At 47.4% G+C, this 15,015-nt stretch overlaps 1 protein-coding gene across 22 annotated transcripts in view, besides 3 other annotated features; it reads right to left on the minus strand.

Annotated features, from left to right (window-relative positions):
* Window positions 1-15,015, minus strand: part of COBL (cordon-bleu WH2 repeat protein) — a 300,598-nt gene that overhangs the window by 214,515 nt on the left and 71,068 nt on the right. The gene's annotated exons all lie outside the window — the stretch shown is intronic.
* Window positions 3,128-3,647: an enhancer, noted in NCBI's record as "H3K4me1 hESC enhancer chr7:51301551-51302070 (GRCh37/hg19 assembly coordinates)". NCBI's record gives its function as "activates a minimal SCP1, AML or CMV promoter by ChIP-STARR-seq in primed H9 embryonic stem cells {active_cell/tissue: H9 hESC(primed)}" and the evidence as "EXISTENCE:reporter gene assay evidence [ECO:0000049][PMID:30033119]".
* Window positions 6,881-7,421: an enhancer, noted in NCBI's record as "H3K4me1 hESC enhancer chr7:51305304-51305844 (GRCh37/hg19 assembly coordinates)". NCBI's record gives its function as "activates a minimal SCP1, AML or CMV promoter by ChIP-STARR-seq in naive H9 embryonic stem cells {active_cell/tissue: H9 hESC(naive)}" and the evidence as "EXISTENCE:reporter gene assay evidence [ECO:0000049][PMID:30033119]".
* Window positions 13,092-13,592: an enhancer, noted in NCBI's record as "H3K4me1 hESC enhancer chr7:51311515-51312015 (GRCh37/hg19 assembly coordinates)". NCBI's record gives its function as "activates a minimal SCP1, AML or CMV promoter by ChIP-STARR-seq in primed H9 embryonic stem cells {active_cell/tissue: H9 hESC(primed)}" and the evidence as "EXISTENCE:reporter gene assay evidence [ECO:0000049][PMID:30033119]".

Consider the following 15,015-nt stretch of genomic DNA (forward strand, 5'->3'; position numbering starts at 1 on the left):
AGCCCAAACTCCTCTGTCTGATCTGCCTCTAACTTCAAGGCTATTTCCACCACACCCCTCATCGCCCACATCGTGGTTACTTGAACCCTGGTGTTTCTGCACGTGGGGCAGATCCCCTGCTATCCTGTCTCCATCAACCCTCACCAGCCTTCAGTGAGTGAATGAATGGAGTAAAGTCACAAAAGAGGAAGTCACACAAGACTTGACTCTAGAAGTGTCCCACAATGGCAGTGGAGATCAAAGGGGTACTACGGGAGAGAAGACTTTAGGGAAGTGACTGGGAGAGGGGTTAACACTGCCTGGGTTCAAATCTCAGCACCACCGCTAACTAGTGAGTGAACTAACACAATGTATTTAACTTCCTTTGGGTTGTATTTGGGATAACTACACCTTCTCCACAGGATTAGGCAAAAATTAAGTAATTTCATTCTTGTAAAACCCATACCACAGTGGCTGGGATCTAAGCCTTCAGTTAGTGTAAGTATTGTAACCCAGTGTGGAATCAAACCCTTCTGTTCTTACCTATTTGCTCTAGTGCAGAGGAAACCCCAGTGTGCTTCCCTTCCCCCTCTAACATGCTAAAGAGATGATGAATGATCAGCAAAAAGAAGTGTCTCCATGGCCAGCAGGTCTGTCTAGTAAGGACATCACAGTGGCCTCCTCCCCTCACCTGGTGCCTCTCCATCCTCTACCAAACCAAGCAGGGGTTCCTGGGGAGCCATATGCAGGGCTGGGTCAAGGGCCACAGACATGGAGCTGCAGAACTGCAGGCCTGAAGCTGCCCGGGAGCACTGTGATGTGAGTCTCTGGATCGGGGAAGTGCAGGAGCTTGAAACAAATGCCTGTGTCCTAAGGAGCGCCAGAGGGTGGCTGGCCAGGGCTGTCCACAGCAGCATGCGACAGAGAGGTCAGAAGGTGGTTCCTGGAAGCAGGTAGCTGCTGCAGGGCTCAGGTGACCCAAGAGGACTTAGAAGGGGCCTGAACCAGAGGGCTGGGTGCAGGGTGGGCCGAGCCAGGAGAGGCTGTGGGCTCACAAGGCAGAAGCTGAGGGTGGGACCCCCACACACCCGCAGATAAACGCCACAAGAGCATGTGGCACCAGACCTGTAGCACCAGAAGGTATGCTGACCACCAGCAAAGAAGAGACCCTGCCCCTCATCCCCACCCAGCCATGGAAGCAGCACCTCGGGGGGAGGGGACCCAAGTCTAACCACAGCCACCCAGGCCTGAGCTCCTGCCATGGTCGGACCTGAGTGCAGTAGAGGGTGGGAAGGGGAGAGCTTCAGCTGGATGTGGGATTGACGCTGTCATTCAGAAGAGGCTGAACTTCCTAACCTCTGAGAAATAGGACCGTTCTGGTAGACGATGCAGAGCTGAGTGCTATGGGCTGCCAAAACACCATCCCAGATAGAGAATCAGGAAAGAATGACTACAATCTGTTGAGTCTAATCCATTCTACAAACCACTACACATGGTCACCTTCTTCATCATCACTTTCTTAGTCAAAAATGGAACTCTCCCCTCATCCCCCCAAAAAAGGAAGAAGAAAACAATAAAAAAGGAAAAGCACAGAATCACCATACAATATCAGTCTCTTCCTTTTGCCTTTTCTGGGGGACCATGAGGGGAGGGCAGAGTTGAGAGTTCCCACAACCCATCTGGCTGTGGGCTCTGGAAGGGGTGAAAATGGAGCCACACTGATGACCGAGAAAGCAGAGCCATGGAGAGGACCCCACCAGTGCATCCCTACATTGAGATTCAGCCAGCAGGGGGATTCTTATTTTCTTAAGAAATAACAATCAGGGCCAGGCACGGTGGCTCACACCTGCAATCCCAGTACTTTGGGAGGCCAAGGCGGGCGGATCATGAGGTCAGGAGATCGAGACCATCCTGGCTAACACAGTGAAACCCTGCCTCTACTAAAAATACAAAAAATCAGCTGGGCGTGGTGGCGGGCATCTGTAGTCCCAGACACTTGGGAGGCTGAGGCAGAAGAATTGCTTGAACCTGGGAGACGGAGGTTGCAGTGAGCCAAGATCGTGCCACTGCACTCCAGCCTGGATGACAGAGAGAGACCCCACCACAAAAAAAAAAGAAAGAAAGAAAGAGCAATCAGATATTTTTATGACTTTCTCCTGAACATTTATTCAATTTCTTCCTGGGTTGTTTGGCCATGAACATCCACATCACATGAAAAGTACCAGAGACGCTGTGTGTTAGTTTAATGATTAAGGCATTAAATCGTAGATAACTATGCAAGTGATCAGGAGTAAATTTAACCACACATAATGGTCATGACAAATAGTCCACAAGAGGTATAAGAGAAAATAAATACAAACAGCCATTAAGCACTTGAATATGTCAGAATGAATTTTTACAAATATTAATTTTAAAAATTATTTAATGGCTTCATCATGTATTTGGGGCATAACAGGCATCTAATTATGTATAGTGACAGAAAACACCTTGGTTTTCCATGAGCATCTGCAGAGACAGGCTGGCCAAATCAGTGCTGCCTTCAGCTCAGAAGACCCATGGCAAAACCGACAGTTTTCTTCTGGATTCAACTCACAGAGCCAGCAAGGGGCAAGAAAAGTCAACAGAACAGAAACGCCAGACCTAGAAGGCAAGAACATATTAAGGATGGTGATTTGCCTTCACCAAGGCACCCAAAATGTTTGTTTTTTCCTTCAGTGGGGGGAAAAAAAAGGAGCAGAGCTGTATTGAGTTCCTTCCAGCAAAGTGTGGAAAAGAGAACCAAACCGAGTGGAAATCCTAAGACAAAAACTGCAGAGCGAGACGTGAGACAGCAGGCCGTGCGCTCTGAAAGGCATCTCTGCCGCCTGCTGATAAGCCCCGTCCATTTCTATGTACTTTTGTCAATAACTGAAAAGCAGTGAAATCTGACTAGCCCGCTCTCCACACAGCGCATAACTGATTGGAACTCAACGGACTGTGAGAATTTCTCAGGAAAATGAACCCCAACTCCCTTCACTTGGGGCCACGGACTCACATGACACCACAGTTCAGGGAAACGGACGTTTTCAGGATGTGCACATGCCAATGTCTAATGGAGAGAGCCTGATTTCCAGGCCTTGTTTTTGACTACTTCGTTGCAATCCCACTAACAAACTTGTGCATGTTTGCTATAAAAACAACCAGACTGTGTTATTTATTACCTCAAATGTAATCACCTTACAATCTTATTTCTGCCTCTATTAATAAGTAGAAGTTTCACTGCTTAAAATAAATGGCAAAAGTATTTTATTTAGGATGAATTATTCTACACTGAAAGATACTTTCCAGTAAGAAAAGCAGAAAAGAAGGGTATGTGAAAATATGCAGAAATAAGAGGCCCAGAGCCAGCCTGTTTTGATACTGGTGTTTTCTGAGCTAAGAGCTAAGTGTTGGGTACCTTTAATTCTCCGTTGAAAATATGACACTTGATCACCTCATCGTGAACTGTCTCTCAAAATAGAGACTGGGCCTCCCAGAGGATCCCTGGGCTGGCGAAACCTGAGCTGAGTGGCTCTGACAGGCACTGCTGAGCAACCATGTGGCCTCTGGGCACTTCTTGTCCACTGTTAGACCTGCGGCCACCCACCCTCAGGCACAGCCCTGCCCGGCAAGGCCAGACCTGGCATCGGGCTCGCCCACTTCCCAAATAACACCACCATCAAGAGTTCCGAAAAGGCCGAGCGCAGTGACTCACGCCTGTAATCCCAGCACTCTGGGAGGCCTAGGCAGGCAAATCACTTGAGCTTAGGAGTTCGAGACCAGCCTGGGCAACACAGAAAAACCCCCTCTCTACGAAAAATACAAAAACTAGCCGGGCGTGTTGGTGTGTGCCTGTAGCCCCAACTATTCTGGTGGCTGAGGTGGAAGAATTGCTTGGGCCCAGGAGGTGGAGGCTGAAGTGAGCAGAGATGGCACCACTCCACTCTAGCCTGGGTGACAGATCAAGGCCCTGTTTCAGAAAAAAAAAAAAAAAAAGAAAGAAAGAAAGAAAAAGAAAAGAAAGTTCAGAACACAGAACCCTGACTGAAGGGCCAGGGCTGGACAGCAGGCTGGACTAGACCAGGGCACATGCTGTGGAACACGTCGCTTGGGTTTACTGATTGATCTGGGGCCACCTGAACCTCAGTTACCTTTGGAAAGAGAGAGACAGAGAGAAAGAGCACTAGAGGAGGTGAGGGAGGGAGAGAGAAGAGAGGGAGAAAAGGATGGAGGGAGAAAGAGAAGACTTTATCTCTGAGGCTATTCCACTCCAAAAGTTCTGTTCCCTCCACAACCTGTCTCTGGGGGTCCTGAGGGACAGTCTGCAGCCCTCACAACGCTCATGCCTGTTCCTATGGATATCTCCAGCCTTGGCCTGGCATTTCCTCCTCCACTAATCTGCACTTCCAATCTCCACCATGCTCTGAAGTCAAGCAGCCCAACCTGTTGACAGCCCACGAAGAAACACACCATCTTCGTATGCACCCTAACACCACAATTCTCCAAGTTAACCCCTCTCAGTTTTATATCGTGGCCCCCAGGTTTGGAGGACGGGCGATTCCTTGATGTACCCAGTCTTTCTTGATTGGATTGAGGGAATCCAGTGTTAGGTCTGCTGTGCTGTGACAGCTGACAGGTCAGGGATCTGAAGGGACTGTGTGATGTGGCTAAGCAAGTGCAGCTGCCCTGCATCTCTTCCTACGTCCAAGAACCTCTTGGGCCCTTCCTTTAGCCCCCAGACACCTTGAACAACCAGATACAAAACTGTGGTGGGAGTTTTTGTTGCAGAACTTTTATATCCAGAACTTTTGCTGCAAGTGCGTGATTTCCAGAGAGCAATTATATCACCTCAGCCTAAAGCCAAGCACCGGAAACAGCCGCGGACATCCCTGACCTTGAGAAGGCTTCCCTTTGCCCACCACCCACGGCTTCCCATTGGCTGGACAAAACCCTGCACCACAGGGCAGGTGCTGGTTTGGAGGGGCCTGAAGTTAACAGTCTGAGAGGCCTCTTTAAGATAAAGAACACAAAAGCACAACAAACATTGTAAGTCAGGCAGTGAGCTTGGCCCAACATGGGAGGCCCTGACTCTCTAGCCTCAGCAAAAACACAGACCACTTTTCCAGCTGACTACCCACCCCCTCCTGCACTCTTCCTGGGCCGAGAGGGCCCCCACCATTCACACAGTCCACCTTCTACTCCCCGCCAAGGCAGAACACTTCAGCTTGGCTAAAGAAATGAGAAAAACTTAACAGAAACCCCGACATCCCCTTGGAAAAAAAACATAATGTTTTCAAAAAAAACCCTTCCCCTTTTACGTAAGCAGGGGCCTGGGCTCACTTGGTGTGTCCTCCAGTGGAAGGAAACTAACGCTGACCAACACTCAAATGTACCAACATACCAAGCCTCTGACGGCAACCTAGCCAGGAACGGTCATCCCACTTAACAGACAGAAAACTGAGGCCCAGAGCCCTTACAAGGAGTGCTGGGACAATCTAAGAAATGGAAAAATCCAGTTTCTGTTTGCAAGTGATTTAAAACATAGAGGGGGATTCAGAGGTAGAGGTTACAGTGCAACAGGCACTGGGCAGAAATGAGAAATCTTATGAACCATTCAGAGGAAGAGACAATTTTTCCAGGGGAGATGCATGAAGGCCTCACAGAGGACAGGACAGGGCAGGGCTCTGGGTCACGGGGAGGAGGCTTGGGGCTCAGCAGGAGGGTACACCCATTCACTCCTGGTGAAGGAGACTTTAAGAAAACTTAGGGATCCATCCCCTTCTGAATGAAGCAGCTCATGACTGGAAACTTACACTTTTTATTGCTTGGTGTTCTCATCAGCCAGAACCAAACTCAAAGTCCCTGGCTTGAGCTGAAATTTAGGGTAGTGCCTTGGGAAAGAGCCTGGGCACTAACAGGGAGGGGCTTGGGTTGAAATCCTAGGTCTGCTACTTCCCAGCTGTCCCTCTGCAGCTCACATTCCTCACCTGTAAAGGGGAATGGGAATACCTACTTCCCAGGTGCAATGCGTAGTATATAAAATAATGTGGTCAAGGCATCTGGTACACGATGCACTCAAAAAACAAGGCATGTCTGCGATGAATGCAGCAGGGTCGGTGTCCTAAACCCACCTCTGCCCTGTCTCCATCCTCCACTGCCCTCCCTCTGTAGCAGGAACTCAGGGGGTCAACGGTCTCGCCTCTTCACAGCTGAGCTTGACAGGGCTGTGTGGGGAAGGAACCACCTCATTTGGTTCTGTGTGCCCTGCTTCCGGTCTGCACTGGACTGGCCTGAGGAAAACCCAGGGAATATTTCCTTCCTTGCAGTTTCTCCCTGACTGCTTCTTTCAAATCAAAACAGAAATGATGAAGCGAAATGCCCAGCTCTGGGCCTGGCCCAAGGAAGTCCTCAATGTGCATGAGTTCAATGGTACCCCTCCCCAGACTCCAGATCTGCCACCCTGTCCCTCATTTGCTTTGACTTAGCACTCACAAAGTAAACTAATTCTTTAATAACTCACAAGAGCTGAAAGTTAATTTTTTCATCTTAATTCTAGCCTATTAGAAAAAAAACAAAGATTTTAAGCAAATAAAGGAGTTTACTTCTCTGCATCCTCATAATAATTTGTCCATAGACAACACTTTTGTTTCCTATGTTGAAAATAATATTACATTGTAACTTTACTAAAGTTTAAAACACAAATGACAATAATATTGAAAAATAAGTTCACTAAGATGTAACAGCTGAATTTACTTTTACGGTTTGCCGATCTCAATATACATAAACTGTGAGTCCCTTAACCCTTTTTTTTTCTTAAAAAAAAAAAAAAAAAACTTCCAAAATAGGAGAGGGTGTAGTAATACATATGCCATATGTCTACATTTTTGCCACTAGCTTTTGAAAGTTTAATGTAGTATTATTAAAAACACAGAATGCTTGTCATATTTTCCCCATGCTAGGGTGCCTTGGGCCATGTCATGGTCCGTTAAAAACAAAAAAATTCAAGGGCTGCCTCTATTTCAGAAACAGGAACGTGTTCAGTAATGAAAACAAAACGTGTATTAGAATAGACCAATATTTACATGGTGTTTTATACAGTGACCAGGTCCCCAAAAGGGTGTGACAGGATTTCTGTTCCTGAAGCTTTGTGGTTCTCTCTGAAGGCTGGGAGCTGTCTGCTTACACCTGGAAGTCCAGCCCAGGAAGTAACTGCTGATGTCACAGGTGGCTCTGTTGACATCCTCACAACCTGCCAGGGCTACACCCTCCAGGGCATGCCCCTCAGGTACCAAAGGGGAACGAAGAAGGAAAAGGAAGTTCCACCTGAGCCTGATCTGACCAAGATGGCCCACGCCAGCCACCATGCTGACAGCCAGCAGTGACCAGAGAGGACGCTGGGACCAAGCGGCTTTGGGGGTCTCCCTTGGCCGCCTCCAGGCCTTCCACTGTACTGGTTTGGATTTGCCATGGTAGATTTGTTCAACTACCAGTTTTGTATCCTGAAGCACGGAAGCCACATGACTTCCACACCTGAGTACCTTAGAGAACAACAGAAGTGCTGTTCTTTGGAGCAAGGATGGCTAGGCCACTCCGGGGTCCTTTCCCTGCAGTTCCCTCCACATACTGGGTCTCATGAGAAGGAGACCCCTGCCCTTCCCTGGGCTTCTGTGTGAAGCCCTCAGTAAATGACAGTAGCGGGGCAGAGCTCTCATTTCCCCTGTGAAAACCTCTCTTCAGTTGCAGCAACACCGGGTAGAGCAGTTGTAACTTACACTGAAGTTACTCTTTGTCCGCCAGCCCTAACAAAATTGTCAGAGGCCTCCGAACCAGAGCAACTCCATCTTGAATAGGGGATGGGTAAAATAAGGCTGTGTCTTTTCTTATGTTAAAGCAAAGGGGGAAAAATGTTGGTTTTGAATACACACTAGCCAGTCTTTTTTGTGTTTTTACTCAAGGCTTCAGTGCAGGGTGTATCCAGCAGCCTCCCAGCCCCCACCACAATGCTCCTGGCCCCTGACCCTGTGCTCCTCTTTCCCCCTGTGACCCTGACTGCTGTCTCCTCTGCAGAGAAGTCTTACCTCTTATTTCCCTGGCAACCCTGCCTCATCCCTAAATATACCAGTCAGGAAATTCTTCTTCCCGGGAGTCCCCGGTGAAGGAGCCTCCCCTCCACCCAGCTACAGATGCCCTAAAACCAGCTCATAGGGCTCTCAAGAGCCAACTGTTAAATCTTCTGGAATGCTGGTAGCGTACTCATTATTAAAAAGTAAATTATATAAACTTATGGTTAAATAAAATACATTAAAAATAAGGGTAATAAATATGCAGCCCTTATCACTTCCTACTGATTTCACTGTTATCTGTACCTTTGGGGTTATTAAAATCCATTCTGTCTGGGGCTAGAAATACTGTCAGAGGCATCTGACCCAGAGCGATTCCATCTCGAATAGGGGCTGGGTAAAATTAGGCTGAGACCTGCTGGGTGACATTCTTAGTCACAGGATGAGATAGGAGGTCTGCACAAAATACAAGTCGTAAAGACCTTGCTGATTACAGGTTGCAGTAAAGAAACTGGCTAAATCCCACCAAAGCCATGAGGCCACAAGAGTGACCTTTGTTCGTCCTCACTCCTACACTCCCACCAGCACCATGACAGTTTACAAATGCCATGGCAATGTCCAGAAGTTACCCTGTATGTCAAAAAAGGGGGTGAACCCTCAGTTCCAGGAATTGCCCACCCCTTTCCAGGAAAACTTATTAATAATCCACACCTTGTTTAGCACATAATCAAGAAATAATCATAAAAATGGCCAACCAGGACTCGCGCTACTGCTCTGCCTATGGAGTAGCCATTCTTTTGTTTCTTTACTTCTCTAATAAACTTGCTTTCACCTTACTCTACAGATTTGCCTCCAATTCTTTCTTGCATGAGATCCAAGAACCTTTTCTTGGGGTTTGGATCAGACCCCTTTCTGGTAAGAATACTACTCGATGGGAGTTGCCACAGCCTCTGCCCAGCTCCACACTCATGTCTCACTTTAGTGGCTGGTTAACGGTCATGGTATTTTGCCATGGAAATGAGCAAATGTGACAAATCAAGGCACACGTTGTTTTATTGATTGTCTAGATCAGGGATCAGCAACATTTTCCATAAATAGCTACATAGTAAACATTTTAGGCTTTGTGGGCCATATGATCTCTGTCACAGCTACTCAGCTTAGCCACTGTGGCAAAAATGCAATATATAAATGAATGAACTTGGCTGTGTTCCAATACAATCTCACTTATGGACACAATTTTGAATCTCATATAATTTTTTTATATATTACAAAATATTATTTTCCTGTTAATTTTTTTAAAAAATACCTTTAAACATGCAAGAACCACTCTTAGATTGCAGGCTGTACCAAAACAGGATCTGGCCTGTTGACCACAGCTTGCCAAGCCTTGGTCCAAGACCTAGGATGGTGATGAGAAAATCTTGACAATGCAGATCACACTCACAAGTGGTCCTGCCTGTCACTTCCACATTGTGAATCACATAATAATTTAAGGAAACACTGTGAGTATTCATACACTTAATCCAGGTCAGCAAAGTCTCATATCACTGAAGGAAAGAGGACATTCTAACATTCGCTTTCTCACTTTGCTTTACTCATTGTAAGTGAAAATATCCATCAACATTCATGTCAGAACTGAGCTCCTTCATCAGAGCAGCCACAGCGTGGCCATGGACTTGAGTGCGGCTCAAGTGAACAAAAGCATCTATGATCAGCAACTGGCTCTACGGAAATTGCATTAAAGAGTACTGAACATATTTTTTTTTTATTTTATTTTTTTGAGACAGAGTTTGACCCTTTTTGCCCAGGCTGGAGTGCACTGGCGCGATCGCGGCTCACTACAACCTCCACCTCCTGGGTTCAAGCAATTCTCCTGCCTCAGCCTCCAGAGTAGCTGGGATTACAGGCACGCACCACCACTCCTGGCTTTTTGTATTTTAAGTAATACGGGGTTTCAGCATGTTGGCCAGGCTGGTCTTGAACTCCTGACCTCAGGTGATCTACCCACCTCGGCTTCCCAAAATGCTGGGATTACAGGCATGAACCACCGTGCCCAGCCTACTATTATTTTAAATTAGGTACTACACATCCTTTTTATAAGTGAAATTTACGAGACCACCCTTTCCTCGGAGAGCTGGCTGTTCAACAGTTCCTAGCCTAGCAAGGGCTATCCCAGAGGTACTGATGGTGACTGGTGAGCAGTGGGCCTTGCCACCCACCCACTTCCAGGCAGTGAGTGCTTTAAAGGCAGAGCTGTATCTGATCCAGCCTTTCCCTGCCCCAGAATAGGACCTGGTAACCCTGCTGGTGTTCAGGCTAAGTAAACAAACACGAGTGGGCACAGCACCTTGGTCCTGCACCATCTGTTGTTTTTTAAGGATTATTAGAGAGAGCAAATTCCAGTTTTGATCACAATGTGGTAAATGCTTCAATGAAGTCTCAACGTGTCCCTCCAATAACAAAAGATTACACACAAACTTTTAAACATTCTTTTACTAACTGATACTTAGTATGTCTATATTTGCAGCCCAATACACACTATTTTGCATGTTATTCATGACAACAATTCAGTGTCTAAACTCATTTTAGAACATAAATGAACCAAATGCCAGTGAGAACATATCTCCCCACAGGCACTCAGTGCTGGGCAGAGCTGGTCCCCTCGGAAGGCCTGGGTGCTCCCCTGTGCAGATCCCATTAAGAAACCAATGCTCCTCGGCCGTTCCCACGATCACCGATTAACATTTTAGTGATGTAGCTCCTGCTCCAGAGGAAGAGAAACAAGTTAATCTATATTTTTTAAAAAAATAAAAGTCACTGTCATTGGAAGAGCAGTTTGATGAAATGGAAGTCTGTACATGTGACAAATGAACACGTATGGCAAGGAGAAATGGAGGCTGACAACTCTGGCAGCCAAACACTGCTGTGTGTCAGTATTTCCTCACTTCACATGGTTTTAAAAAGGTAACAAAGCCTCTTCCAGACTCATGATCCTCGTTCCTCAGCTGCTCACAAGGTCCATCCTGCAGAGAAGTGCTAGGGGTCCTTCAGGGAGGAGTCCTCTCACATGGGATAAGATAACACAGGTGAGGCAGGAGAGTAATGTCTGGAGACAGGGACCCTAAGGCCAATTCACGCTGACTTCCTAGACCTAAATCAAAAGGAAAACCCCAACTTTGCACTCCCAAGTAACAAAAAGACCAGAGGCTACTCCCCTTTCCTGCGTACAGATGAAAAACTGAAAGCACCTCTGACTGGTCCCCTCTCACAACCAGTCTGGTCTCAGGCCAAGTCTTCATTTGCGTAAGAGTATAACTTTGTAACTTCACTTCAGCTTCTGATTGGTCACTTTCTGCAATCAATCAGAAGTTTGCATAGGGTGTAACTTTATAACTTCACTTCAGCCTCTGATTGGTCCCCTCCCACAACCAATCAGACTGACTGTGGGCCACTACTTCATTTACACAGGGTGTACACCAAGTAACCAATGGGAAATCTTCAGAGGGTATTTAAACCCCAGAAAATTCTGTAACCAGGCTCTTGAGCTGCTTGCTCGGGTGCACTCCAACCCTGTGGAATGTACTTTGATTTTTGATAAATCTCTGCTTTCATTGCTTCATTCTTTCCTTGCTTTGTTTGTGCATTTTGTCCAATTCTTTGCTCAAGACACAGGAAGCTGGACACCCTCTGCTGGTATCACAGGCTGTCCTGGCTGGACTCAGCTCCATGTTGTACAGTATAAAAAAGGTGCCAGAAAGTTCCAGAGTGTCATCAACCTGAGCTGTCCACCGACCCTGCTATACGCCAATTCCTCACCCATAAATTGACTCTGATCTCTGAGGTCACCTACTTGATGCTGTTGAATGTTATGATCTTCAGGTTCATAAGATCCACAAACAGAAAATGTTAACTTAGGATTTGAACACAGCTAGATACCCACCATCTGCTCTGTTCTGAGAATTGGGCCCTGGAAGAGCTGGAGACAGAGCTGAACCCGACTCCTGGGTAGAAGAGGCCCACTCGCCCAGGTGCTTCCTCTCTGGGAGGCCCTGTCGAATGCCAACATTATCACCTCCGCACAGCTGGTTCATCCAACAAGGTACCTGACACCGAGGAAAGCCCAGGGTAACCGCTACCAAGGGAAGTCCAGGCCCCAAAGAAGAAGGGCTGGGTGCTCCCTTGGGAAGCTGCCCAAAGTCACCAGGCACCCAGGAGGGGATGACCAGGTATGAAGGGACACAGAGCTGGGACCAGACCAATTTTCTGCGCTTGTTAAACTCGCCTTGGTGGCACTGCTTGGATGAGTGAGCCAGTCCCGTTGGTCCCACTAAGGACGGATGGGCAAAACATGGCATGAACTGATGTAAGAGAACACGTTCAAGCCAACGTGCTGAGGTGGGGGCTATTCTGGACGCTATTCCATGAAGCTGAAAAGATGTTGTGGCCTCGCTGCACTGATGTGAAGGCAGCTGTGTGCGGGGAGCAGAAGTACTGGAGCTGACGCTGGGGTGTGACTTCCTGTCCCCCTTATGTGCGAGTCACCTCACCCCTCTGTACCTCCGGTTCCAGTGGTGACACAGGGGTGACGGTGATGTCACTGCCCTCATGGGACTGCAAAGCACTCAATACCAGCTGCTACTACGGGATCTATTGGAAATTTAAAATTATATACTCACCACACAATTAAAAATGAGCTAAGGTATAATCTTGTATATATCTATGAAAACATGATGTGGGGATCATGGTGAACAGTTAAACTCTGGTGCACCCGTGCCACGGGCTAGCCCTCAGCAGGAAAAAGGAGGCAACATAGCAAGCTGGGTGGAGCCCAAGAACGTTACGCTGGGTGAAAAAAAGCAGTCTTGGAAGGTCACGTACAGTATGATCCTACTGATATAAAATCCTCAAAATGACAAAAATCATAGCAATGGAAAACAGACTAGTGATTGTCGGAGTTGGGGACGGCAGGAGGAGGTGGCTGTGCCTGAAAGGGGGTAGAGGGAGGTCTTGGGGTGAAGGAGCGGTGCCGTGTCTGGCCTGCATGGACCTTCAGGTGTGAGGACGTGCACGTGGCGGGCACCCGTGCCAGTGTCCTCTTCTTGGTTTTGGTATTGTCCTATACTACAGATGACACAACCACGGGGAAACTGGGGAGGGTACCAGGACCTCTGTGCCAGCTTTCTAACCTCCTGTGAATCTTCAAAATTAAAAATTAAAAAATATATCAGCTAAGGAAAGATAAACCATCATGTGAAAATGCTTTCCCCATGTTGGTCCCTGCAAGATGGCTCTGCCCACGCCCTCCTCTCCAGCACAGTTTTCTGCACACACATGTGTGCTCAGCTCCCACCCTCAAGGCTCCAGGATGAAACCCAGTGCACAACCTGCCAATGAGAACTGAGGCTGCAAACCATGTTCCACTGCAAAATGTAAACACAAGAATAGGCCGCACTCCAAGGAGAATGTCTAAGTCCTCTACAGACGCCTGGACCAGCATGCCCCGGTGCCCCATGACTGTAGTGGGTATTTGCTGTCCTCCTTCCTGTACACCTGCTGTCATCCACCAAGGCATAAACAGAAACACTGACTTTTCAAATACTTCATGGTTTCTTGACTTGTTCAATCACACGGCCTTCTTTGCCAGGCTGCTGTAATAGCCACTCACATGTCCAAAACCTTCAATTAGGGAACTCTATATTCTGGCCACAGATAGAGAGAGTTGTGTGGATGCTGCCATTTGACAATACAGAGGTACTTCCTCCCTTTCACACCAAACCGATAGGGTCTCATGGGGCCCAGCCTCTCCTACGGCCACTCTCTCTCACCCACAGCATGCTCCAGTTCCAATCCCTAAGTGCCTCAGCTTTCCCCCAGGCTGCAAGACACTGCCAGAGGAAACAGGCCCTCCCCACAAAGTCACGTGCGGTGACCCCAACAGGGCCCTCAGGTAGATGTTCCTGCTCATTGCTCTCAGCCCCATTATATCATTGCTGCAGCCATTCCAAGTCCCGGAAGACCTCGCCCAACATGTTCTTGTCCTGGGCTCCACCTTCACCACGCCTCTGTCTGCAGAGACCCCAGGGAGTTCCTGCAAGGAACGCAGTTCCAGAAAAGGGCTAAGCTCACATCTCTTCTAAGGCTTCACCCATTTTTTTCTCTGCTCTCCTATCTTTAGTCTCTCCCTGTCTTGGCTCGCTAGCTGAGACTGTTCTTTCCTTCCTCTTTCCACACCTCCTTCCATTCAAAAGAGGAAACGCCTCCAAAGAGGAGCCCTACACCCAATGTCCCAATTTCCTCATAGCTTCCGAAACCCGCGCCTTTACAGCCAGGCTTCCTCCACACTCTAACGGACCTGATCAGTTGCCTCTTCCCATGATGACCTTCCCTGCCTCCCACACGCCCTTCTCCTGCAAGTCCACAGCTCCCTGAAACTCCTGCTTTCACATCTCCAGAGTCTTGTGGATGCTGTTCTTCTACCTGGAATTGCCATCAAAGTCCAACAAAACACCAGCCCCTTCTAAAACCCAGCCCATACTCTTTCATCTTCACTTTCTCCTCATCCCTACCCACTCCTGCTGAAATTAGAAGTATTTTCTGCAAACCCTAAATTAAGATTCCAATTCTGCGGTACTAAACACTTTCTCCACAGCTCTACAACATTTGTACTGATTCCCTTCCTCCCTTGGATTGGACAATTCTGTCTCAACCACCAGACTAGCTAACAGCAGCTTGCTGAAGTGTGAGCTCAACAGGTATCTGTCCAATGAATGAATTACATCCATAGAAGAAATGATATATAAAAATATATAAAATTAGAAATACAGTTTCATTCATTCTACAAACATGTATCAGGACCTACCATTTACAAGGTAATTCCTAGGGAGTCTATAACATAAATGATAGTACAGTGTATGGTCTCAGATCTCAGAAAGGTTCTAGAGGGGCAATAAGATAGACA

Source organism: Homo sapiens, chromosome 7, assembly GCF_000001405.40.
Source record: "Homo sapiens chromosome 7, GRCh38.p14 Primary Assembly".
Lineage (NCBI taxonomy): Eukaryota > Metazoa > Chordata > Mammalia > Primates > Hominidae > Homo > Homo sapiens.